General features: G+C 45.6%; 2 protein-coding genes across 6 annotated transcripts in view; one reads left to right on the top strand and one right to left on the bottom strand.

Moving 5' to 3' along the window:
* The window catches only part of LRPPRC (leucine rich pentatricopeptide repeat containing), a 110,042-nt gene extending 104,866 nt beyond the window's left edge, over window positions 1-5,176 (top strand). For 3 of the 4 annotated variants that reach the window (XM_047442809.1, NM_133259.4, XM_006711915.3), the window contains exons 37-38: window positions 1,524-1,666; window positions 2,744-5,176. In XM_047442809.1, the coding sequence (XP_047298765.1) occupies window positions 1,524-1,666; window positions 2,744-2,800 (200 nt within the window). In that variant the 3' untranslated portion in view covers window positions 2,801-5,176. Of the gene's footprint in view, window positions 1-1,037; window positions 1,178-1,523; window positions 1,667-2,743 lie in introns of those variants that run through there. The other variant, XR_007068563.1, reaches the window with a different exon arrangement.
* The window catches only part of ABCG8 (ATP binding cassette subfamily G member 8), a 44,018-nt gene continuing 28,393 nt past the window's right edge, over window positions 8,412-24,036 (bottom strand). Inside the window, exons 7-13 of one of the 2 annotated variants that reach the window (NM_022437.3) lie at window positions 19,262-19,424; window positions 19,094-19,177; window positions 17,414-17,613; window positions 16,917-16,993; window positions 15,987-16,254; window positions 13,712-13,839; window positions 8,412-13,624 (exon numbers count right to left, since the gene is read on the bottom strand). In NM_022437.3, the coding sequence (NP_071882.1) occupies window positions 13,487-13,624; window positions 13,712-13,839; window positions 15,987-16,254; window positions 16,917-16,993; window positions 17,414-17,613; window positions 19,094-19,177; window positions 19,262-19,424 (1,058 nt within the window). In that variant the 3' untranslated portion in view covers window positions 8,412-13,486. The remainder of the gene's footprint in view (window positions 13,625-13,711; window positions 13,840-15,986; window positions 16,255-16,916; window positions 16,994-17,413; window positions 17,614-19,093; window positions 19,178-19,261; window positions 19,425-24,036) is intronic. The other variant, NM_001357321.2, reaches the window with a different exon arrangement.

The raw sequence follows: 24,036 nt of genomic DNA, 5'->3' as shown, positions 1-24,036 counted from the left end.
AAGGCAGGGTTACCATAAACCTTCAATTTGTAAATAACGCAACATCTGTAAAGTGCATTAAAGCCAAGGTATGCCTGTAATGTGAAATAGTGTCAAGCGCATAAATCTGTGTGTGTTACTACTAAATTAGGTAATCCATTTTGGGAGGAAGGTAGAAAATCAAGAAGTAAAGAAAGGCAAGATGCCAGAATTTTCGGAGCAGCTTCCTAGAAGATAGAGCTTGAGCCCTTAAAGGGTTCAGCTCCTCAGGAAGGGAAATAAAGGATTTACACAAGAAGTTGACTTCATGGAAACAGCAAAGATGTGTTCCAACTCCACTAAGAGCTGATGAGTCACCCTCATTCCACTTTGGGAGACTCTTTGATTGCTGAACGTCTCACCTCTGTCTTAGGGGTTCCCCTGGTGCTGCCGGAGTTGCGGTTGACAATATCAGAGTCAGTGTAGGGCAGGGGTTTATGTGATGCTTAGATGCTAACAATCTAATGCAAAATTAAGGAGTTGAATTACCAGCAGTAATTGTTAGCAGAGCCCTTACCATCTCCATGGTAAACTAAAAAATTTCCACAAATCAGCCACAAGTAGAGAGCCAGCCAAATTTGGCTCCTAACATATTTCATCATTCACTTAAGTGAAACTAGTGTAACTTGTTAATGTCTCCTTATAGGTTTTGCTTTTGTTTGTTTTTTGAGATGGTGTCTCGCTCTTGTTGCCCAGGCTGGAGTGCAGTGGCACCATCTCGGCTCACTGCAAGCTCCACCTCCCGGGTTCACACCATTGTCCTGCCTCCGCCTCCCAAGTAGCTGGGACTACAGACACCCGCCACCACGCCCGGCTAATTTTTTGTATTTTTAGTAGAGACAGGGTTTCACCATGTTAGCCAGGATGGTCTCGATCTCCTAACCTCGTGATCCGCCTACCTCGGCCTCCCAAAGTGCTGGGATTACAGGCGTGAGCCACTGCGCCCGGCCTATAGGTTTTTTGTGTGTGTGTATCATTGTAGCTAACTATACTTTCCATATTTGTTTATTTTACAATAGAAAAATGAAAAGCTTTTTTGATGTTGAGCTGATGATCTTGATGTTGATGTAGATTTCTACATAATTGACATGTCCCTCTCCACAACAGTTCCTGGATTATCTTGATTTCACAGTGGTTTTAAGCCAAAGGGGATTGAATGGTGTGTATTATTTTATAACTGAGGACTTCAGTTTGTGGTCACTTGAACTATCATAGGTCTTAAATAATGTAATAACCTAAGTGAATGGTATCAATATTATTCTAAAGTCCTTTAAATGTAGCCATATTTGTCATTTTCTTCTCCTTCAAAGTGAGTGATGCCGAATGAGGGATGTAGAGAAGTGAGGGAGATGGTAGATTCTGAATGTGGCTTCTTACTGAAAGTAGTTAAGTGTTCATTTGCCGTGGGATAAAGGGATCCAGCCGTCCCTGAGTGGCTGTTTTGGTGAAAAGAGTAAGATAGGTTGTCTTTATCTCTGATTAATATATTTTTTTCTTTATGTCAGTCTCAGAGAAAGATGTCACATCTGCTAAAGCACTGTATGAACATTTGACTGCAAAGAATACAAAATTGGATGATCTGTTTCTAAAGCGTTACGCATCTTTGCTGAAGTATGCTGGAGAGCCTGTCCCTTTCATTGAACCCCCTGTGAGTATTTCTTAATTAAGGGGAAAAAATACCTCTGCAGATTTATGTGCACTTCATAACAATGTGTAAGAAAATAAGTTGAAGACTTAATTACATGAGGATTAGATCTCTGTGAAGAGCCCTCAGGGGATGGCTTGAGGGACTGAGCAGCATGCCTTGGCTGCGGCAGTCGGAGAACATAGCTCTCTGGGGCCACAGTTTAAAATACAAGGTCTGTCTCAGACCTTCAGCTATAGGCATGGATTTACCAAATGTCCTTGGGGCAGTTCTCTCATTTCAACTTGAAATAGGATTTAATGGCCTGTAGTTCAACAGCCAAGCATATTATGTCAGTGGTAATTACTTGTTCATTTACATAAGTTGGTTTTTATTTCTTCGTCTAGGAAATTTTGCCTTTTTTTTTTTTTTTTTTTTTTTTTGAGATGGAGTCTCGCTGTGTTGCCCAGGCTGGAGTGCAATGGCACGGTCTCGGCTCACTGCAACCTCCGCCTCCCAGGTCCAAGCGATTCTCCTGCCTCAGCCTCCCAAGTAGCTGGGATTACAGGGGCCTGCCACCATGCCTGGCACATTTTCGTATTTTTAGTACAGATGGGGTTTCACCATGTTGGCCACGCTGGTCTTGAACTGCTGACCTCGTGATCCGCCCACCTCGGCCTCCCAAAGTGCCGGGATTACAGGCGTGAGCCACTGTGCCCGGCATGTTTTCTTTAATAAGAGAAATCACATATGCACAATTCCTTTTTGTTATGTCATTGAACTGAGTCAATACACCGTGTTTATTTCAAACACCTCAGCCTTCCATACCCATACCTCCATATGTGCACACACACATGCTTGCACATACACACGTATACACACACGCACCCTACCTCCTGCTGCTAGCTTTAACTCTGAACCCGAGGCCCTTGAACTTGTGATTTCATGAAACAAGGAAGGAGTACTGAAGCTTGAGGGGCAGCATCTTCCATGGGCCTGGCAGTCTTAGCTACCAGTTGGTAGTGTTTTATGATTTTTTAAGTTATGTACCATCACCTCTTGCTGGTATCTCTAACTTCCCTCTTTTTTTCTCCTTAACAGGAAAGCTTTGAATTTTATGCACAGCAGCTAAGAAAATTGAGGGAAAACTCTTCTTGAAATAACCAGGCGATACTTTGTTTTGTATATATTTGTGATTCTGTGTCTACATGTTATTTTGAAGTATATCTGAGGGAAAAATAAATGAAAATTTTCTTTATGTACTTATGTATGTGTGATGCATGTTCAAAGTCTTATTGACCATAACTCTGTGCACTTGGTTATTGGACATTTTTGGAGTTTTTTTCTCTGGGAAAAATCGATAGTGTTTTCTTCAATGCTGCTGCTGTGTGAAGCCATACTTTTTCAGGATTCTTCCCCTAATTGGCTCTTTGGTTTCCCTGCTCTGTTTCATTTATTTCATTAAAATGTTATTCCTTTATTTAAGATTCACTTATTAGTCTGCTGTTTCTCTGAAAAATTTTAGAGCTAGGTATAGTGACCGTGAACTTTCTAACGCATAATATTCTGTGATACAGCCATTCCGTACATGTGTGAAGTCCTGCATAACTTTCGAACTTTGTTAAATGTTGGCACTAGGAGTCATCAGATCTAGGCTTCATCATTTTCCAGTGAGAAGCAGAGACCCAAAGGGCCTGTTACTTGTGCTTGGTCAGGGGACTGTCTGTCATGCCTGGAGGCTCTTCGGCACACTTCCCCATCTTTCCCTTCTGCCACTGTGGCTTCAAGCACCTCTGTTCATAGAGCGTCTCTGAAATTGAGTCTCGGTCATGACTTATCCCGAAGTAGAGCAATGTGTTTCCTCTCATTGTAGTTTCAGGACTTTGTCAGTACAAGCTCTGCCCTAGGCTTGTTACTTTATACTCATATCCTGAAAAGATGTGATTTCATCTATGAAGGGGTAAAATATTGGTTTGTATTTAATTGTTTGAAATAAAAGTGATCCCTATATTGAATCTCATGCCTGTTAATATCTACACTGTAAGTAGTGACTTCAAAAAAATTCTAAGATAGGTAGTCAGGAGAGTTTGCCATTATAAAAGGTGTCTTAATAATATGGAATATTGACCTAACTGGAGATGAGGTAATTAATTACCGAAATGTTGAAAATGTTTTGAGAACTCTCCCCATTTTGGGGTATTCCTTGTTCATTTGAATTTGGTGACTCCCTACTGTTCCAGTTTCAGTGCCAACTTGGGTCACACTGTTCACATCAGGGGAGACCTTGCCTTGGGGACGTAGGCGGGCCTCTTGCAACTTGTGCTGTTGACCTTCTGTCTTGTGGAACTCTCTCTCCTGCATCTGCTACCTGCCCGCAGATGGTGTGAGGGAGGGTTGATGGCGGGAAGCCAGGAAGTAGATGTCATCATGGTATTGGCCAGGCTTTTACTTCAACTCTTTTTGTGGCGTTAGATTTAAGGAAGCAGGGGGCATGGCCAACGTTGAGTCTTGGCCCAGTGGACATAGTGCGGCTTTCCCTTGAGCACTGCCCAGATGCAGGACCTGCACATGTTACAGGTTTGCCAAAAGCATCTTTTTTTTTTTTTTTTTTTTTGAGATAGTCTTGCTCTGTTGCTTAAGCCAGAGTGCAGTGGCGCAATCTCAGCTCACTGCAACCTCCGCCTCCTGGGTTCAAGTGATTCTTGTGCCTCAGCCTCCCACGTAGCTGAGATTACAGGCTTGCACCACCATGTTCAGCTAATTTTTGTATGGTAAAGACGGAGTTTCACCATGTTGGCCAGGTTGGTCTCGAACTCCTGGCCCCAAGTGATCCTCCCCCTGCGCTCGCTTCAGCCTCCCAAAGTGCTGGGATTACAGGTGTGAGCCACCACGCCTGGCCAAGAGCCTCACTCCTGTCTTTAGTGATTGCACTGAAGCAGGCCTCATTTTTTTGCAGTCATGCTAACCACAAGTTAGTCAACATTCACTAATTGACATTCATTAGAATAGGTCTCCAAGGTGAGGCATAACGTTGGGGTGTAATCTGGATTTCGCAGTCATCTTTTTGGGGAAACTGAAAGTACCATCTCATTTGCATGAAGTGACTCCACACTGGCCCTGTATATGGACTCTGGTAAAATGTGAGTGTGGTACAGAGGAAATAGGTAAGACCCCCTTATCTAGCCCTCTCGGCAGCAGCGGGGGGGTGTTACAAAGGACTAGCTGTTCAAATATCTTTTGTATTGTATTGATTCCCCTATTGAATATAAATATTTAAAGTATAATAACTATACTGTAGGTGGGCTTATGAGTGTTCTAAATATCTAATAGCTAAATTGAAATAAGTAGAAATATAAACAATTTAGCAGCTTTCTGTAATACATTTACACTCAAATTATAAGCAGCTAATTCTAAAAAAGATGTCACTGTAAACTATTGAGAACTATAGTATTTTATATATAATTATATGTTCATGTATTTGAACCCAAAATAATTTTAACTGAAATGCTTTGAATAAAGTATACTGTAAATATCTGTGGGCTGCTGCTGCTTTTTTTTTTTCTTTTTTAAACAAACAGTCTCACTCTGTTGCCCGGCCTGTAGAGCAGTGGCGTGATCACGGCTCATTGCAGTCTTGACCTCCCAGTCTCAGGTGATCCTCCCACCTCAGACTCCCAAGTAACTGAGACTACAGGTGCATGCCACCACGGCCAGCTAATTTTTTGTATTTTGAAGAAACAGAGTTTTGTCCGGTTGCCCAGGCTGGTCTTGAACTCCTGGGCTCAAGCAGTTTGCCCACCTTGGCCTCCCAAAATGTTGGGATTACAGGCACGAGGCCCTGCACCCAACTGGCACCTTCATTTTTATCTTGTCAAATGTTTGCACAAGTGCTTTAAGCCATTTCAAAAGACTTCAGTCTTAGAATTATAAATTAAAACTTAGGCAGGGACCTCTGTTATGGCTAGAATTTCCTTGTTAAATGGCCTATAGGTTGTATGTAGACAACTGACAAAAGTCAGTGCTTATCTGTTTTAAGGACAAGCAGATAATTTGAGACTTCTGTGGAATAAAGTTGGCAAAAATTAGAAGGTAGAGCTTGGGTGTGTGGTAAATTGACACCTAAAATGAAGGAGGTTCTATCTGTATCAGAGCATTTTACATCCCCCTAGATGGCTGGGGCCCACCCACCTCACGGACAGGCTGCCTTCAGCACCTGCACCCTTTTTCGAGAATGCTGAGATACCGTCAGTGTCACCTCTGCCTCTTGGGCCCCTCACCCAGCATATTGTTCCCTTTCCAGGGCTTCCACGGCTGCTTGAGCAGAGCAGGTATCACACTATCTTCCACACAGATTCTGAACTCCACAGGGACCAGTTCTTGGTCTCATTATGTGTCCCCAGACCTAGCATAATCCTGTCACAGTAAATCAAGCCGTCTGTAGTCAGTTCTGTGCGTTCTAAACACTGCACCTACTGCTATGGGTCAGGCAGCCCTTTTGCAATGAGAATTCACCGTGAGAAACCTAGGGTCACAGCAGTGAATTTGCCCAGAATCAACTTGATAAGTTGCATGGCTAGGACTCTGACTAAAATCATTTACTTCCTATGAATAGGAAATGGAAGCAATCGGTTTAAAGTCAGTTAAAAGTCAAATTGGAATTGAAACTGTAAGAATATTCTAATTAAAAAAAAAAACCCTCACATTCACATTAATAGAAGTGCTCCCAGTTTCCAGACATCTTACACTGTAAGCCTATTTTCTTACACTTAATTGAAGATCCAGTGCCTGGCATAATCGCTGAGTTTACCAGTTCCAGTAAATTATTAAGCAAGCTTTGTATTGCAAATTGTTCTGAGGACAATTTCTTTCTCAAGTCTGCAATGTGTGTACTCTGCACACTTTTTCTCATGTCCTTGAGCATAATTTTCATTTAATATTTGTCTTTCTGATGAACCAATATTTGTAGAATTTCTATAACCGAAAGCAACATTCCTGAAGGAGGGCCGAACTAATAGCTGCAGGGAGTACAAAATCACGGTAATTTATCGCTTTCCTGTTGTACAATCATGCATGGGAGTGTTTCCATTAGAAATGTATCGTGCTTTCAGGCCCGTGGACTTTACAAAGCCTACATTATGCAGCCTTAGTACAAATAAAGAAAAGCTGCATTAGCAAATCAAAAATAGGCACTTATCTTTTTCTTTTCTGCATGGAGGAAAAAAAAAATCAGGTCCAGGTAAAGCAAAAGTGTTCAACCAGCTTCAGTCTTCCTGCCCTTGCACAGTTGTTTGGACAATGGTTGGCTGTTGAGATCTATCCTCAGAGAGTTCTCTAAAGTAGCGTGTTGTTTTTTATTTATTTATTTATTTATTTATTTATTTTTTGAGACGGAGTCGTGCTCTGTTGCCCAGGCTACAGTTCAATGGCGCTATCTAGGCTCTGCAACCTCCGCCTCCCGGGTTCAAGCTATTCTCATGTCTCAGCCTCGAGACTAGCTGGGATTATAGGCGCCCACCACTGCACCCGGCTAATTTTTGTATTTTTAGTAGAGGCGTGTTTTTGTCATGTTGGTCAGGTTGGTCTTGAACTCCCGACCTCAGGTGATCCGCCCGCCTCAGCCTCCCAAAGTGCTGGGATTACAGGTGTGAGCCACCATAAAGTAGCGTCTTCAACCCAGGCCTGGATGTGCCCTTGCTGTGACATTCCCATTATTTACTTGTTTTTGTCTGTTTTCTCCCTGAGGAGGTGAGTTCTTCCAGCACTCTGCAGACCTGCCAATTAGCAGAGCTTGGCATGATAGGCACCCGGTAGGCATCACTGAATGAGTCAATCAATGGGCACACCACCATGTCCTTCCCCTTTCCAAGTCGTGTTCCTTCTGAGATGGATGATTTGTGTGCTTTGGAGGGTTTCCTCCACATGGTGGTCTTCTTACAGGATTTCTAGTCAGCTCTGTAGCTCAGAGTTAGGACACCGGGGATTGAGGCCCAAGGAGTCCTTCAAAACCCAAGTGCCCACATAAAAATATTTTCAAGTTTACTGTCAGGAAGAGGAGGCCTGTGAAAACCAGACAAACTCAAGATCAAGCTGATTCCAAGCACAGTGCAGGGCTTCTGTGCAATAGTGGAATAATGGAATCAACACAAATAAAGCTTTTCTTTTCTCTCTTTTTTTTGAGATGGAGTTTCGCTCTTGTTGCCCAGCCTGGAGTGCAGCGGTGTGATCTTGGCTCACTGCAACCTCCATCTCCTGGGTTCAAGTGATTCTCCTGCCTCAGCCTCCCAAGTAGCTGGGATTATAGACATGTGCCACCACACTCGGCTAATTTTGTTATTTTTAGTAGATATGGGGGTTCCACCATGTTGGCCAGGCTGGTCTTGAACTCCTGACCTAAGGTGATTCACCCACCTTGGCCTCCCAAAGTGCTGGGATTACAGGCATGAGCCACCACGTTCTGTTTTTCTTGTTGTTTTGTTTTGTTTTGTTTGTTTGTTTGGAGATCGAGTCTTGCTCTGTTGCCCAGGCTGGAGTGCAGTAGCGCGATTTTGGCTCACTGCAACTTCCGCCTCCCAGGTTCCAGTGATTCTGCTGCCTCAGCCTCCTGAGTAGCTGGGACTACAGGCACTTGCCACTGTGCCTGGCTAATTTGGTATTTGGGATAGAGATGGTGTTTCACTATGTTGCCCAGGCTGATGTTGAACTCCTAACCTCAAGTGATCCACCCACCTCAGCCTTCCAAAGTGCTGAGATTACAGTCATGAGCCACTGCGCCCAGCCGAAAGAGCTTTATTTTTAGCATGGGTCAGTAGAGCTTATTAGCAGTTTGGGGAAACAAGAATATTTCCAATTTTAAAGAGACGAGACAATCATACAAATGATGTGAGCACTATTACATAGAAAGCAGAGAAGTGTTTTTGAGTTGGTTTGTGTTTAAAAATCTCAACCCACTGCTTAAACGTTGTTTTAATTATTAGCTGCTAACACCACACGTGCTGCTGTTCCTAGTGCACCAGCAGAGAATGGGCTGTGCTCCATCTGCCTGCCTGCCTACCTGCTGAAGCTGCCTCAGGCAGAGCTCATGTGATAAAGACAGGGGATGTTGCTCTGTACCCAGGCCACTTTAAATGAAGAACAAATCATTATCAAGTACGAATGACAGATGACTTGAAATCTGAATTATCTAGTGCAGACTATTCACAAATAAGGATGTCTGTTGTCTCTCAGGTGTGAGCATTGGATATATTTTGCAAACAAGCAAAGGCCAACCAACAAAATATTTCATCACTTTCCCCGCATTCCAGTTCCTTGCACGCTTCCTCAGGGCCTGTTTGGTGCTCCAGACCCCAAGGCCGGTTGGGCCAAAGGAAAGTGGTCTGTATGCTGTGCTAAGCCACTATGAGGAACCCCTGGTCCCAGGTCTGTTAACACTTGGATTTGACAGATTTGAACATTTCTGTTGCTAGTTGTTTAATTTGGGATCATGACAAGAGTTGAAGTAGAAGAAAACAAAAGCAAATGCGAGATCTACCTCTGTAGACTGGTTTAACCCAGGGCAAGATTACATCTTATATACTATTTATAGGAACAAGAGCAGATTTTTTTTTAAATCAGGAAATATTTGAGCCAATATTGGTGATTATTTTCTGTTTAATTAAAATTCCCCACCAATAGCATAACTTGAAATTGGAGGGCTTAAAATGCAAATTTGAAAACCTTTACCAAGGCTCTGCAAACTACACCCTCAGGTCAAATCTAGCAACCTGCCTGTTTTTGTAAATAATACTTTCTTAGAAGACAGCCACACCGGCTGTACGTTACTATAGTCTACAGCTGCTCTCACACTGTAACAGCAGAGTTAAGTAATTGCAGCAGAGCCTATAAGGCCCACGAAGTCCCAAATATTTACTATCTGACTCTTAACAGGAAAACTTTGCAAGCCATGCTTTCAATACTGACAAATAAACAAATCTCTACCCTTTCGCAATGCAGGGCAGGGCTCGCTGAACAGCATGCATGCCTCGAGAGCCTTGGGTTTTTTTTTTTTTTTTTTGAGACAGAGTATCGCTCTGTCACCAGGCTGGAGTGCGGTGGCTCAATCTCGGCTCACTGCAACCTCTGCCTCCCGGATTCAAGCGATTCTCCTGCCTCAACCTCCCAAGTAGCTGGAACTACAGGCACGCACTACCATGCCCAGCTAATTTTTGTATTTTTAGTAGAGGCAGGGTTTTGCCATGTTGGCCAGAATGGTCTCGATCTCCTGACCTCGTGATCTGCCCTCCGCGGCCTCCCAAAGTGCTGGGATTACAGGCGTGAGCCACCGCACCCGGGAGAGCCTTGGTTCTTTGTTTTCCTGGCCTCACAATGCCTTGAAGAGCATTTTAAACAAAACAGACCCATGGGATCAGAGTCTCTGGGCAATGGGTCCACATTGGCTTTTGTTAAAGCTCCAGCATGGGCAACCAGGGTGGAGAACCACCGCTGTAGGAAAAACACAAATAAATGGCAGCTGCTATATTTTCTCCATCCCTCCTGCCTTTGCACTTTGCCCTTTTCCCCTTCAGCACGGCATACAGAGCCACTGAGTTACCAAAACCCATTGCAGACCGAATGGTGAACTCACAAAGTCAGGTGATGTATCTTAGTGGCTGTCAATCACTGCACATTAGAATTACCTGGGGAGTTAAGGCAAGCTACCAATGTCCTCTTCATCCTTCCCCCTTCTTCATTCAGGCCTAACGCCATTAGGGGACCACAGTGACAAGGAGGTGGGGGGAAGTTGTGGTGGGCCACGGGAGTGTGAGGAAGACAGCTGCAGACTCAGGGAAAGCTGGACTTGGGAGTTAGAGCCTGAGCAGGGTAGGCAGGACGTCCATACAGGAGAAGGCGTGGCAGTGTAGATGGGAGATTACTTACCTGCAGGCGGTTAATCAAATGAGTAAATAACCTAAGGGTAATGGAAGCCAGGTTTCTCACAATTAGAGAAGAGGGAAGAACCTAGGATCAACTCTGTGATGCTGGATTGGAAATGGATGTTATCAGAGTAAACTCATGTGTACTTAGGTGTATATGTATGCACATGCGCGCGCGCGCGCGCACACACACACACACTCCCTAACTCTGTTCACTGAGAGAGCCTGGGAGCAGAGATGTTCCACAAGCAAAGAGCATACTTATCACCAAAACCTTGGCTTCTAAATACCATTTTCCACTAAGAGGAACCCAGATTCTCTGGAGAAACATCGGATTCCAGGGCTGAGATGGGAAAATACAAGATGAACCTGTGACACCAGGTGCGGTGGGTCACACCTGTAATCCCAACACTTTGGGAGGCCGAAGCAGGCAGATCACTTGAGGCCTAGAGTTCACAACCAGTCTGGCCAATATGGTGAAACACTGTCTTTACTAAAAATACAAAAATTAGCCAGGTGTGGTGGTGGGCACTGTTAATCCCAACTACTTGGGAGGCTGAGGCAAGGCAATCGCTTGAACCTGGGAGGCAGAGGTTGCAGTGAGCCGAGATCGCGCCATTGCACTCCAGCCTGGGCCACAGAATGAGATTCTGTCTCAAAAAAAAAAAAACAAAACAAAAAATGAGCCTGAAACTCTTGGTTGTTTCAGCCCTCAAAGGATGATGAGGACATATCAAAAGGATGCAGAAGCCAGCTCGACGGGGTTCCCACTGGCCAAATCAGGGACAAGCTGAGCATCAGAATTAATCACAATAATAAAGGGTTGTAAGGATACAATGGGAATTCACAAGTTTACATCAATCAAAATTTTAAAATGCATAAATGGAAAGTTTACAATTTACATAGTTTCAAAGTACCCACTTACAAAATGCTTATTAATTATAAAGGGAGGGAAAATAGTAACTTGGCTGTGGAGAAGCCTAGCAGACACCCCTTTAATCAAGTGATCAAAGTGAACGTTGTTGGTATGGGAGAAGTTGAAATCACATGCCTTCTGATAGGATGCACTGGGCAGAACACAAATTGAGAGACAGCCTTCAAACTCAAGTATCAAGGTCACAAAAGTGAAGGAAAGTTGACAAACTGTTCCTAAACTGAAAGAGACAAAAGAGACTTGAGAACTAGATCCAAGGCTTGATTCTGGTCTAGATCCCCTTGCTATGGAGGACATGATAGGAACTCCCAGTCAATCTCAAGAATGGGGTCTGCAGGTTGGATGGTGGCAACATGACCGTGCAAGCATCCTGAGTGTTGCAAGTGCTTTGGAAAACGGCAGCATGCTTGAATGTGCACAGATCACCAGGGGGTCTTCTTAAGACGCAGACTCTGACTCATTGAGCCTGGGTGGGGCCTGAGGCTCATGGGACCTATCCAATCAGCTCCAGCTGTGCCCATTCTGCTGGCCCAGGGATCGTACTTGGAGTAGCAAGACTCTAGTGAACCTATGAAGAGTATTTGCTATTTACCTCCCAAACACGCACCTTCCCCTTCTTTTGATTCTAAACTCTAATTTTCCTTTGGGAACATCCTCTCCTGCCCTCTGTGCACCTGTTTTGGGTCAGATAGTCCCCAACACTCAGGCAAGAAGTGTGCAACCTGGGCCTCTGCCTCCCCATCCTCTGGCCACTGTGAAAGGTTCAAGGCTGGTTCTGAAACCCAGGCAGGGCCAGTGTATTCATCTGCTCTCACACTGCTATGAAGAAATACCCAAGACTGGGTAATTTATAAAGAAAAGAGGTTTAACTGACTCACAGTTCAGCACGGCTGGGGCAGCCTCAGGAAACTTGCAGTCGTGGTGGAAGGCTCCTCTTCACAGGGTAGCGGGAGAGAGAATGAGAGCCGAGCGAAGAGGGAAGCCCCTTATAAAACCGTCGGATCTCATCAGAACTCACTCACTCTCAGGAGAACAGCATCAGAGAAACCACCCCTATGATTCAATTATCTCCATCTGGTCCCGCCCTTGACACTTGGGGATTATTACAATTCAAGGTGAGATTTGGGTGAGGACGCAGAGCCAAACCATATCAGTTAGTGAAATGCAACTCTAAGAAGCCTGGCTGAGTTAACAGCCTCTACAGACCCCATTTGTCTTCTGGAGCCTTCCTAAACTCCTAAGGCTTACAGCGGCTCAGGCCTTGCCTTCTGCCCTCTAACTCCAAAGGCCTCAAAGGCTTTTCTGATCCCCATATGACTCCACCACAAAGTATCCATGTGCCCTTAGGAAAATGAATTTTTGCTTCAGTTTTCACACCTATAAAATGGGATACCACTTACCTCAAGGGATTGTCCACCTAAAGTGTTTTCACAGGACCTGCTACAGAGTAGATGCTCAATACATTTTTAATTGTTCACGTTGGCTTTTGGAGCCCATGACCCCACACAAAAAGAAGGGATGGCATCTTGCTGGTACATCTTAGGTCACTTTCTGTATTGATGGTGGCTCACCACGGAGTGTGGGGCCCCTGGAAGATGAAGCCAAATCTGCTAGCTACTGTTATTGTTCCCTCCAGGTTCCAACAATTCCTGCACAGTCTAGCTACCCAATTCATTCCTAGTTTGCTCCCATCCTATATCGAGTTGCCTATATAAATGCATATCAAAAGGAAATAAATTAGCAACGTTGTAGGTGCCACCGAGTGCAGGTTTTCTCCCAGTCATCGCAGTCTCCTGCCAGTGAGCAGAAATCCCTTTCGACTGTCTTTATTCTACTGCCATCCTGTGGCTGGTCTGTGCCACTGCAGCACCCTGGGCCGGATGTAGCTGAGCATCTGTAGGGTCATTGTCCTCACTGTCCCCAGGAAGGGGCTCCTGAGGAGGGAGTGCAGTTGAAGGGTCTGCTCAGGTCCCCCACCAGCGGGCAGACGTCTGGCGTGAATCACCAGTCTTGACTTGGTTTCTGTTTGATGAACCTTAAGGACACGTAGTACAGGACCATGAAGCCACCGCTGAGGCCAATGACGATGAGGTAGATGGCGTAGAGAGGGTACGAGTCCAGCTCCATGACACTGAGGATCTGGAGACACAGACATGCAGTGGGCTCATGAGGAGGATGGAAAGCCGGACGTCCAATAATTTAGAACCCGAGGCCTTCCCCGCTTACTTTATCTCCTGAGACCGCGATGGTGAGGTTCCCGAGAGGCATTTTATAAGTTCTTCTGCTGAACTGAATCTTCATCAGCCCTTCAAAACACCACCGCAGGAAGGACACTTTGGAAATCCACGCGGGCACTGGAGACAGACAGCCGCGTTACTCACAGGTGTCCCTCATATTCTCATGGTTTCCCCATATTCGCATGGTCTCCCCCATATTCACAGAGTCTCCCCATATTCCCATGGTCTGCCCATATTTGCATGATCTCCCCATATTCCCACAGTCTCCCATATATTCAGTCTCCCCATATTCCCATGGGCTCCCCATATTCGCACGATCTCCCCATATTCCCACGATCTCCTTTATATTGATGTGGTCTCCCCCATATTCACACAGTCTGCTCATATTCCCACAGTCTCCCCATATTCCCACGGTCTCCTTTATATTGACACGGCCTCCCCCATATCCAGTTTCCTCATATTCCCATGGTCTCCCCATATTCCCATGGTCTTCTTTATATTGACATGGTCTTCCCCATATTCACACAGTCTCCTCATATTCCCACGGTCTCCCCATATTCCCACAGTCTCCCCCATATTCACAGTTTCCTCATATTCCCAGTCTCCCCATATTACTAGAGTCTCCCCATACTCCCAGTCTCCCCCATATTCACACAGTTTCTTCATATTCCCATGGTCTCCCTATATTCTCATGGTCTCCCCATATCCCCACTGTCTCCTTTATATTGACACGGTCTCCTGCATATTCACATGATCTCCCCATATTCCCACAGTCTCCCCATATTCCCATGGTCTCCCCATATTCGCACAATCTCCCCATATTCCGACGATCTCCTTTATATTGACATGGTCTCCCCCATATTCACACAGTCTCTTCATATTCCCACGGTCTCCCCCTATTCCCACAGTCTCCTTTATATTGACACTCTCTCTCCCATATTCCCACAGTCTCCCCATATTCCCACGGCTCCTTTATATTGACATGGTCTCCCCCATATTCACACTTTCCTCATATTCCCACAGTCTCCCCATATTCTCACGGTCTCCCCATATTCTCACAGTCTCCTGCATATTCATGTGATCTCCCCATATTCCCATAGTCTCCCCATATTCCCATGGTCTCCCTATATTCTTGCAGTCTTCCCATATTCTCACCGTCTCCCCATATTCCCACGGTCTCCTCCTATTCTCATGGTCTCCCCGTATTCCCATGATCTCCTTTATATCGACACAGTCTCCCCCGTATTCAGTCTCCCCATATTCCCATGGTCTCCCCACAGTCACACAGTCTCTCTTACCTGCACAAGGGCACATCCCACTCTCTGAGACAGGGCCATGGTGGCTCTGGCCCAAGTTCTCTGATGAGCAAGGAGGGGAGAGAGACCAGAGACCAAGAGGCAAAAGGGCAGAGGGGTTGCTGGGGACATGGACTGGGGCCGAGGGAGCTGAGAGGCCACGGGGTCACCCACACATTTGATCCATAGCAATTCTCGAGAGGGATGTGATGAGGCATCCCTGCACGTGCTCAGCTTCATGGACTGTGTGGGCTGAGGAGACTCAGCGGCCCCACACCAGAGACAATGGAGCCTGTGCCCTGATCCTATGGAGGTGGCATGGTATGGGGAGGGGAAGGAGGCAATGAGCCCTGCCTGGGTGCATCAGGAAAGCCCTGGCAGAAGAGATGCCCCATGGAAGGCGGGCATGACATTCCCAGAGACAATAGCTGGGCAGGCTCAGAGGTGAGAGGGTGGGGTGTGCTGGGGGCTTCAGAAAGCTGGGGAGGCCGCAGGGATTGAGCAACCCTGGGAAGATTTGAACAAAGGGGGGCATGGGTTTGCACCTTGGAAAGCTCACTCTGCGTGGCTGAGTCGAGAGGGATGTGGAGGGGCCCAGGTTACAGAGACCAGGCTATGGCAGTGGCCCAGGCTCAAACAATGGTGGCCAGGGATGGAGACACAGCCAAGCAGACATTTCAGAGAAACAGGAGGCAGAATCGACCTGGCTCACAGGTGGATGTGGAGAGGGAGGGAGACAGTCAAGGGCGACTTCTGGATATCAGCTGTGGGATAGGAGGAGGTGCATCTGGAATCTCTAATGGAATCATTCCTTTGGCCTCCAGGGCAGTGGGCAAAGGCCTCTGCTTCCAGAAGGGCCAGCCTCGAGTTGGATCTAAGTGATAAGTGTCCATCTCCAGATGAAAGCAGGCTTCATCCAGTCACATGAGTCCTAACAAAGCTGGCCCAGGCCCCGGGGGCAGGCCTTACCTGTCCACAGGCTGCTCAAGTTTATCATGAAGCCCCCGGCGAGGTAGAAGGAGTTGTAGAGGGCATTGCTGAAGAAGGAGGCCATGTGGAAGGTGGGGAGCAGGGCCGCGGCGGCCAGGGCCATAATCCTGCAACAGAAGACCACCAGCCACACCAGCAGGAAGTGCAGCAGGAAGGGCTGGAGGCCTGGCCTCAGGTTGGCCAGCCAGTAGGTGGGCATCCCGTAGATGATGATGTAGGCACAGTGCTCCGGAAGCTCCCCGAGGATCTGCAAAGAACAGCCCTTGCAAGGATATGAAGCCAGCACCTTCACTGCCATTATTATAAACGTTTAAAAGTAGCAGTGCCCCCAGATAGCAACCTTCCCTCCTGGTGATGATGAGGCTGTGGCAGGAGGGTGTGCTGGGACCCAGGAGCATGAGCTCAGTGCTGGCCTCCCCCTTGCAGATACCAAATGCTCCCTCTAGGGCAGTTCAGCCTGTTTCCCCCAGGGCAGCAATGGGCACCTGCTGTCCTAAGACCTGGTTTCAAGTCCCTACTCCCCCTGACCAGATCAAGTAGCTGTGTGGCCTTGGAGAGCCACGTAGCCTCTCTGAACCTCTGCTTCCTGGAAACACCTGCCTGGCCTGCTGGGGGGCCACAGTGAGGCTCTGAAAAGGTAAAATACAATGAGGACTTCTTTTTTTTAGATTCCTTCTGGCCAGAAAACTATCATTCCTGGTCCACAGTCCTGGTGTTTTGGTAAATGTTTAAAATAAAAGTTCAAGTCTCTGAAACTCCCCTAGAAAATGTGGCATCTGGTGGCATCGGTGACTTCACATGACCCACGGCCCCATGGTTCAGAAAAGCCTTCCTTGTAGCAACGTTTTCTCCACACTTACCCCCACCCTGGTGGGTGGGGGGCACTTGCTCTCAACCCTGCCCAGTCACCTTGGCAAAGAAATATGGACCAGTGGTGTACAGCCCGTCTTCCAGTTCATAGTAAAGCATTGCCCTCTCTGAGTAACCTAAAAAGTAAGGGAAAGGAAAAGAGAATGAAGAAGTAGAATAAATCTACAGTGCTTCTGTTTTGGAGACTCTCTTAATACAATTCAAAGTAGTTATCATATTGCCCAAGTCTCTAATTTTTTTTTTTAAATAGGCACAGTAAAGCCATCCTAATTTAGATGTTTGATGAGGCTCTTCAGGTTTTGCAAGTCTGTAGCTCGTGTTCTGCTGTCAAATATAAATCCTGCTAGGATAGGAACAGCTAAGACTCGGTAATTTACTTTCATTTGTATGCTAATATTAACATGCAAACTTTAAAAACATTATTGTCTTATATATCACAATCACAATGAAATCAAACCCGCTCCCCAGGAGCTCAGAGGAACACAGCTTGGAGGTGGCTGAGGTCCTGCCTGCCCATGCCAGTGGGCCACACTCACATTTGGAGATGACATCCAGAATGACGTTGAAAGGGATGAGAGCACCGATCATGAACAAGAGGGCGGCTGTATCCATGAAGGAGAGCTGGATGCTCCCATGGCCAAAATAGAGGAAGCCGATGGTCATTGACATCAGACAGGCCTCCGCCCCATGGATGAGGAGGGTGGGCAGGTCTCGGAAGTCGTTGGAAATCTGACGACTTAAAAACCAAAAGGAAGAGATGCTGAGGCAACAGCATACACCAGCCCCGTGACCCTGGGAATGTCACAGTCTCCATAAGCCTCATTTTTCTCCTATGCAAAATGGGGATGGTAATACCTGCCTCATAGAGTGGCTCTGAGGATTAAATCAGAAAACTGATGACAGCATCTGTCCCACAGTAGGTACTCAATAAATGATTGTTACTTTTATCATGAATGTATCAGCTTGGCAATGTTACTCAAAGAAATGATCCTGAGGAAAAAATCAATTACTTCCATAAAGATGTACGGACAGGCTGGGCGTGGTGGCTCACGCTTGTAATCCCAGCATTTTGGGAGGCTGAGGCAGGTGGATCGCTTGAGGCCAGGCGATCGAGACCAGCCTGGCCAACGTGGAGAAACTCCATCTCTACTAAAAACACACAAAAAATTAGTCAGGAGTGGTGGCACACACCTGTAATCCCAGCTACTTGGGAGGCTGAGGCAGGAGAATCACTTGAACCTGGGAGGCGGAGGTTGCAGTGAGCCAAGATTGCCCTAGTGCACTCCAGCCTGGGTGACAGAGAGAGACTCTGTGTTAAAAAAAAAAAAAAAAATGTACGCTCAATGATGTCTGCTGCCTCATTGCTTGTAGTAGCAAAAGCCTGAAGATAATCTGGCCATCAAGATGGACTTAATGGGTGGGTGATTATGGCTAGACTAACTGGAATGCCGAGGAAGACCCAATCAGACGGGAGGTAGAGGTGCTGCCCTAAGTGAAAAGAAACCAGCTACAGACCAGCATGCAGAGTATGATCCCGCTACGTTTACAAATGTGTGTATGCATGGAAACATCAGGAAAGACACACGCCACACAGTGCCGTCTGGCTTTCTTTGAGGGCTGGTATGACCACGACTTCCCTTTTAACCAGAGATTCTCTCCTATTGTCTCCATTTTTCTCAATGACCCTATGCTATTTCTACGATCTTCCAGCCGGTGAGGATATCTTAATTTTGCTTAAAGAATAAAAGCAATAGGGGTGTTCTGTGTCGCACTGAAGGTTAGTGCTGGTCCCAACAATGCTGTTTCCTTTTTTTGAGATGGGGTCTTGCTCTGCTGCCTAGGCTGGAGTGAAGGTGCAATCACGGCTCACTGCAGCCTCCACCTCCAGGAATCAAGCAATCCTCCCACCTCAGCCTACCAGGTAGGCCCACGCCACCATAACTGGCTACTTTTTATAATTTTTTGTAGAGATGGGCTTTCACCTTGTTGCCCAGGCTGGTCTCGAACTCCTGAACTTAAGTGATCCACGCACCACAGCCTCCCAGAGTGCTGGGATTACAGGCATAAGCCACCAACGCCCTGCTGGATGCTGTTTTTTTCAAATGACTCTACCTCTCACTTTCTCCTTTAAATTCACTTTAATAGAAAGGGCTTAATGTGATATACAAAGACTTGGGCAGGGGGGCGGGTTCAGTAATAAAATGACAGATAATTACCGGATCAGCGTCGTAAACTGCTGCACCGCCCCAGGCATCTTCGTAGGACTCGGGAGGCAGTTGGTGTCTAGTGGGGTCACGCTGCTGGGAGGCAGAAGATGTGGCCAGGTCATGGGGGCAGCCACCTTCTGCAGGGAGCTCTCCTCTCAGAGTCGCCTGCCACCTTACCTTTCCACACAGGTGTCCTCGTCAAGATCCTTCGTCTCTGCTTTCCATAGAAAGTCATCTAAGTCACGCACTTTTTCTAGAAACAGGGCTGCGAGTGACTGAGCCTTCTCCCTGGTGGCCAATTCCTGCTCTCTGCTGCGCCTGTCAATGCTGGTCAGGTCCACTGCAAGCAGGGGATGTGGAGTCACAGGTGGCCTGTTCCCTGGCACCTGCTCACAGGTGAAGAGCTTGGTGCACGCCCAGCTCACAATGCTGATCACCCCTCGTGGGGCTCTGGGACATTCTCCCCACCCTCAGCCATGAAGCAAGGGGCAGAGCAGAGAGAGGCAGAGGGACCCCAAGGGCTGGTCCTTCACCCTGCCAGGCCTGACCACATCTGCAGAAGCCTCAGGGTAAGAGCAGTGGATCAAAAAATGGGAAAGAGTAGAGGCCCCGCCCAAGTCCCACTACCCAGGCTCATTTTGAGGACATCTTAGGACAGAGCAAGAGCCTTCAGAGCCAAGGGCCACATGACAGTCATGCTCTGGCTCCAACTCCAGCTGTCCAGGAAGCTTTAATGAGGACTCAGTGCCCCTCCATGGGGAGAAGTTGGGCTGGTCGGGGGAGGCTGAGTAGTTAGGCTCCCAGATAGTGAGCGTTCCATCCAGAGAGTGAGAATTCTATCCAGATAGCGAGAGTTCAATCCAGATGGGGAGAGTTCTATCCAGATAGACAGTGACAGTTCTATCCAGAGGGTGAGAATTCTATCCAGATAGTGAGAGTTCTATCCAGAGAGTGAGCATTCTATCCAGATAGTGAGAGTTCTATCCAGAGAGTGAGAGTTCTATCCAGAGAGTGAGAATTCTATCCAGATAGTGAGAGTTCTATCCAGAGGGTGAGAATTCTATCCAGAAAGTGAGAGTTCTATCCAGAGGGTGAGAATTCTATCCAGATAGTGAGAGTTCAATCCAGATGGGGAGAGTTCTATCCAGATAGATAGTGACAGTTCTATCCAGAGGGTGAGAATTCTATCCAGATAGTGAGAGTTTGATCCAGATGGTGAGAATTCTATCCAGACAGATAGTGAGAGTTCTATCTAGAGTAAGAATTCTATCCAGATAGATAGTGAGAGTTCTATCCAGAGAGTGAGAGTTCTATTCCCACACAGTGAGAGTTTTATTCAGATGGTGAGAGTTCTATCCAGATGGTGAAAGTTCTATCGAGTTATTAAGAGTTCTATCCAGAGAGTTAGAGTTCTATCCAGACAGACAGTGAGAGATCTAATGAGACAGAGAGTGAGAGTTCTATCCAGATAGACAGTGAGAGTTCTATCCAGAGAATGAGAATTCTATCTAGATAGTGAGATTCTATCCAGATGGTGAAAATTCTATCCAGACAGAAAATGAGAGTTCTATCCAAAGAGTGAGGATTCTTTCCAGACAGATAGTGAGAGTTCGATCCAGAGAGTCAGAATTCTACCCATATAGTGAGAGTTCTATGCAGATGGTGAGAATTCTATCCACACAGATAGTGAGAGTTCTATCCAGAGAGTGAGAATTCCATCCAGATAGTGAGAGTTCTATTACGACGGAGCGAATTCTACCCAGACAGATAGTGAGAGTTCTATCCAAAGGGTGAGAATTCTATCCAGATAGAGAGTGAGAGTTCTATCCAGAGAGTGAGAATACTACCCAGATAGTGAGAATTCTATCCAGATAGTAAAAATTCTATCCAGATAGATAGTGAGAGTTATATCCACAGCCTGAGAATTCCATCAACATACACAGTGAGAATTCTATCCAGAGAGTGAATTCTTTCCATATAGATAGTGAGAGTTCTATCCAGAGTTAGAATTCTATCCAGATAGTGAGAATTCTATCCAGATTGTGAGAATTCTACCCAGATAGTGCTAGTTCTATCCAGAGAGTGAGGATTATATCCAGACAGTGAGAATTCTATCCAGATTGTGAGAGTTCTATCCAGAGGGTGAGAATTCTATCGAGACAGGTAGTGAGAGTTCCATCCAGACAGTGAGAATTCTATCCAGAGACTGAGAGTTCTATCCAGATGGTGAGAAGTCTATGCAGACAAATAGAGTTCTATCAAGAGTAAGAATTCTATCCAGATACTGAGAGTTCTATCCAGAGGGTGAGAATTCTATCCAGATAGATTGTCACAGTTCTATCCACAGAGTGAGAATTCCAACGTGATCGACAGTGAGAATTCCATCCAGATGGTGAAAATTCAATCCAGATAGCGAGAGTTCTATCCAGAGAGTGAGAATTCTGTCTACATAGATAGTGAGAGTTCCATCCAGACAGATAGTGAGGGTTCTAGCCAGATGGTGAGAATTCTATCCAGATAGTGAGAGTTCTCTCCAGATGGTAAGAATTCTATCCAGACAGATAGTGACACTTCTATCCAGATGGTGAGAATTCTATCCAGACAGATAATGAGACTTCTATCCAGAGAGGGAGAATTCTATCCAGATAGATAGAGAAATTTCTATCCACAGGGTGACAGTTCTAACCAAAAAGATAGTGAGAGTTCTATCCAGAGAGTAAGAATTCTATCCAGATACTGAGAGTTCTATCCAGATGGTGAGAATTCTATCCAGACAGATAGTGAGAGTTTTATCCAGATGGTGAGAATTCTATCCAGACAGATACTGAGAGTTTCATCCAAAGAGTGAGAATTCTATCCAGATAGATAGTGAGAGTTCTATCCAGAGAGTGAGAAATCTATTCAGATAGACAGTAAGAGTTCTATCCAGATGTTGAGAATTCTATCCAGATAGTGAGAGTTCTATCCAGAGGGTAAGAATTCTATCCAGAAAGATAGTGAGAGTTCTTTCCAGAGAGCGAGAATACTATCCAGATAGATAGTGAGAGTTCCACCCACATGGTGAGAATTCTATCCAGATAGTGAGAGTTCAACCCAGAGGGTAAGAATTATGTCCAGAATGATAGTGAGAATTCTACCCACAGTGAGAATTCTATCCAGACAGATAGTGAGAGATCTATCCAGAGAGTGAGAATTATATCCAGATAGATAGTGAGAGATCAATCCAGAGAATGAGAATTCTATCCAGATAGTGAGAGTTGTATCCGGATGGTGAAAATTCTATCTAGACAGGCATTGAGACTTCTATCCAGAGACCGAGAAGTCTATCCAGATAGACAGTGAGAGTTCTATCGAGATGGTGAGTATTCTATCCAGATAGTGACAGTTCTATCCACAGAGTGAGAATTCTATCCAGACTGTGAGAGCTCTATCCAGAGGAGGAGAATTCTATCTGAAAGATTGTGAGAGTTCTATCTAGAGTGAGAATTCTACCCAGATAGTGAGAGTTCTATCCAGAGGGTGACAATTCTATCCAGATACATTGTCAGAGTTCTATCCACAGAGTGAGAATTCTATCCTGATCGATAGTGGGAATTATATCCAGATGCTGAGAATTCTATCCAGATAGCGAGAGTAGTATCCAGAGAGTGAGAATTCTATCCAGAAAGGTAGTGAGAGTGCTATCCAGACAGAGAGTCAGAGTTCTATCCAGACGATGATTATTCTATCCAGATAGTGAGAGTTCTCTCCAGCTGGTCAGAATTCTATCCAGACAGATAGTGAATATTCTATGCAGATGGTGAGAATTCTATCCAGACAGATAATGAGACTTCTATCCAGAGACAGAATTCTATCCAGATAGATAGTGCGAATTCTATCCAGAGGGTGACAGTTCTATCGAGAAAGATAGTGAGAGTTCTATCCAGAGAGTAAGAATTCTATACAGATACTGAGAGTTCTATCCAGATAGTGAGAATTCTACCAGACAGATAGTGAGAGTTTTATCCAGATGGTGAGAATTCTATCCAGACAGACAGTGAGAGTTTTATCCAGAGAGTGAGAATTCTATCCAGATAGCTAGTGAGAGGTCTATCCAGAGGGTGAGAATTCTATTGAGATAGATAGTGACAGTTCCATCCAGAGGGTGAGAATTCTATCCACATTGATACTGAGAGTTCTATCCATAGAATGAGAATTCGATCCAGGCAGACAGTGAGAGATCTATCCAGAGAATGAAAATTATATCGAGATAGATAGTGAGAGCTCTATCCAGAGAGTGAGAATTCTATCCAGATTGATAGTGAGAGTTCTATCCAGAGAGTGAGCATTCTATCCAGATAGTGAGAGTTCTATCCAGATGGTGAGAATTCTATCCAAACGGATAGTGAGAGTTTTATCCAGCGAGTCAGAATTCTATCCAGAGAGATAGTGAGAGTTCTATCCAGAGGGTGAGAATTCTATTGAGAAAGATAGTGAGAATTCTATCTAGAGAGTGAGAATTCTATCCAGATAGTGACAGTTCTATCCAGATGGTGAGAATTCCTTCCAGATAGTGACAGTTCTATCCAGAGGGTGAGAATTCTATCCAGATTGATACGGAGAGTTCTATCCACAGAGTGAGAATTCTATCCAGACAGATAGTGAGAGTTCTATACAGAGACTGAGAATTCTATCCAGACAGTGAGAGTTCTATGCAGAGATTGAGAATTCTATCCAGACAGTGAGAGCTCTATCCAGATGGTGAGAATTCTATCTGGACAGATAGTGAGAGTTCCATGCAGATGGTGACAATTCTATCCAGATAGTGACAGTTCTATCCAGAGGGTGAGAATTCTATCTAGATAGTGAGAGTTCTATCCAGATGGTGAGAATTCTATCCAGATAGAGAGTGAGAGTTCTATCTAGAGTGAGAATTTTATCCAGATAGTGAGAGTTCTCTCCAGAGGGTGAGA

The sequence above is a fragment of the Homo sapiens genome, chromosome 2, assembly GCF_000001405.40.
Source record: "Homo sapiens chromosome 2, GRCh38.p14 Primary Assembly".
Taxonomy (NCBI): Eukaryota; Metazoa; Chordata; class Mammalia; order Primates; family Hominidae; genus Homo; species Homo sapiens.
Note: the sequence above shows the minus strand (reverse complement) of the source record. Positions and strands in the feature narration are given on the sequence as shown.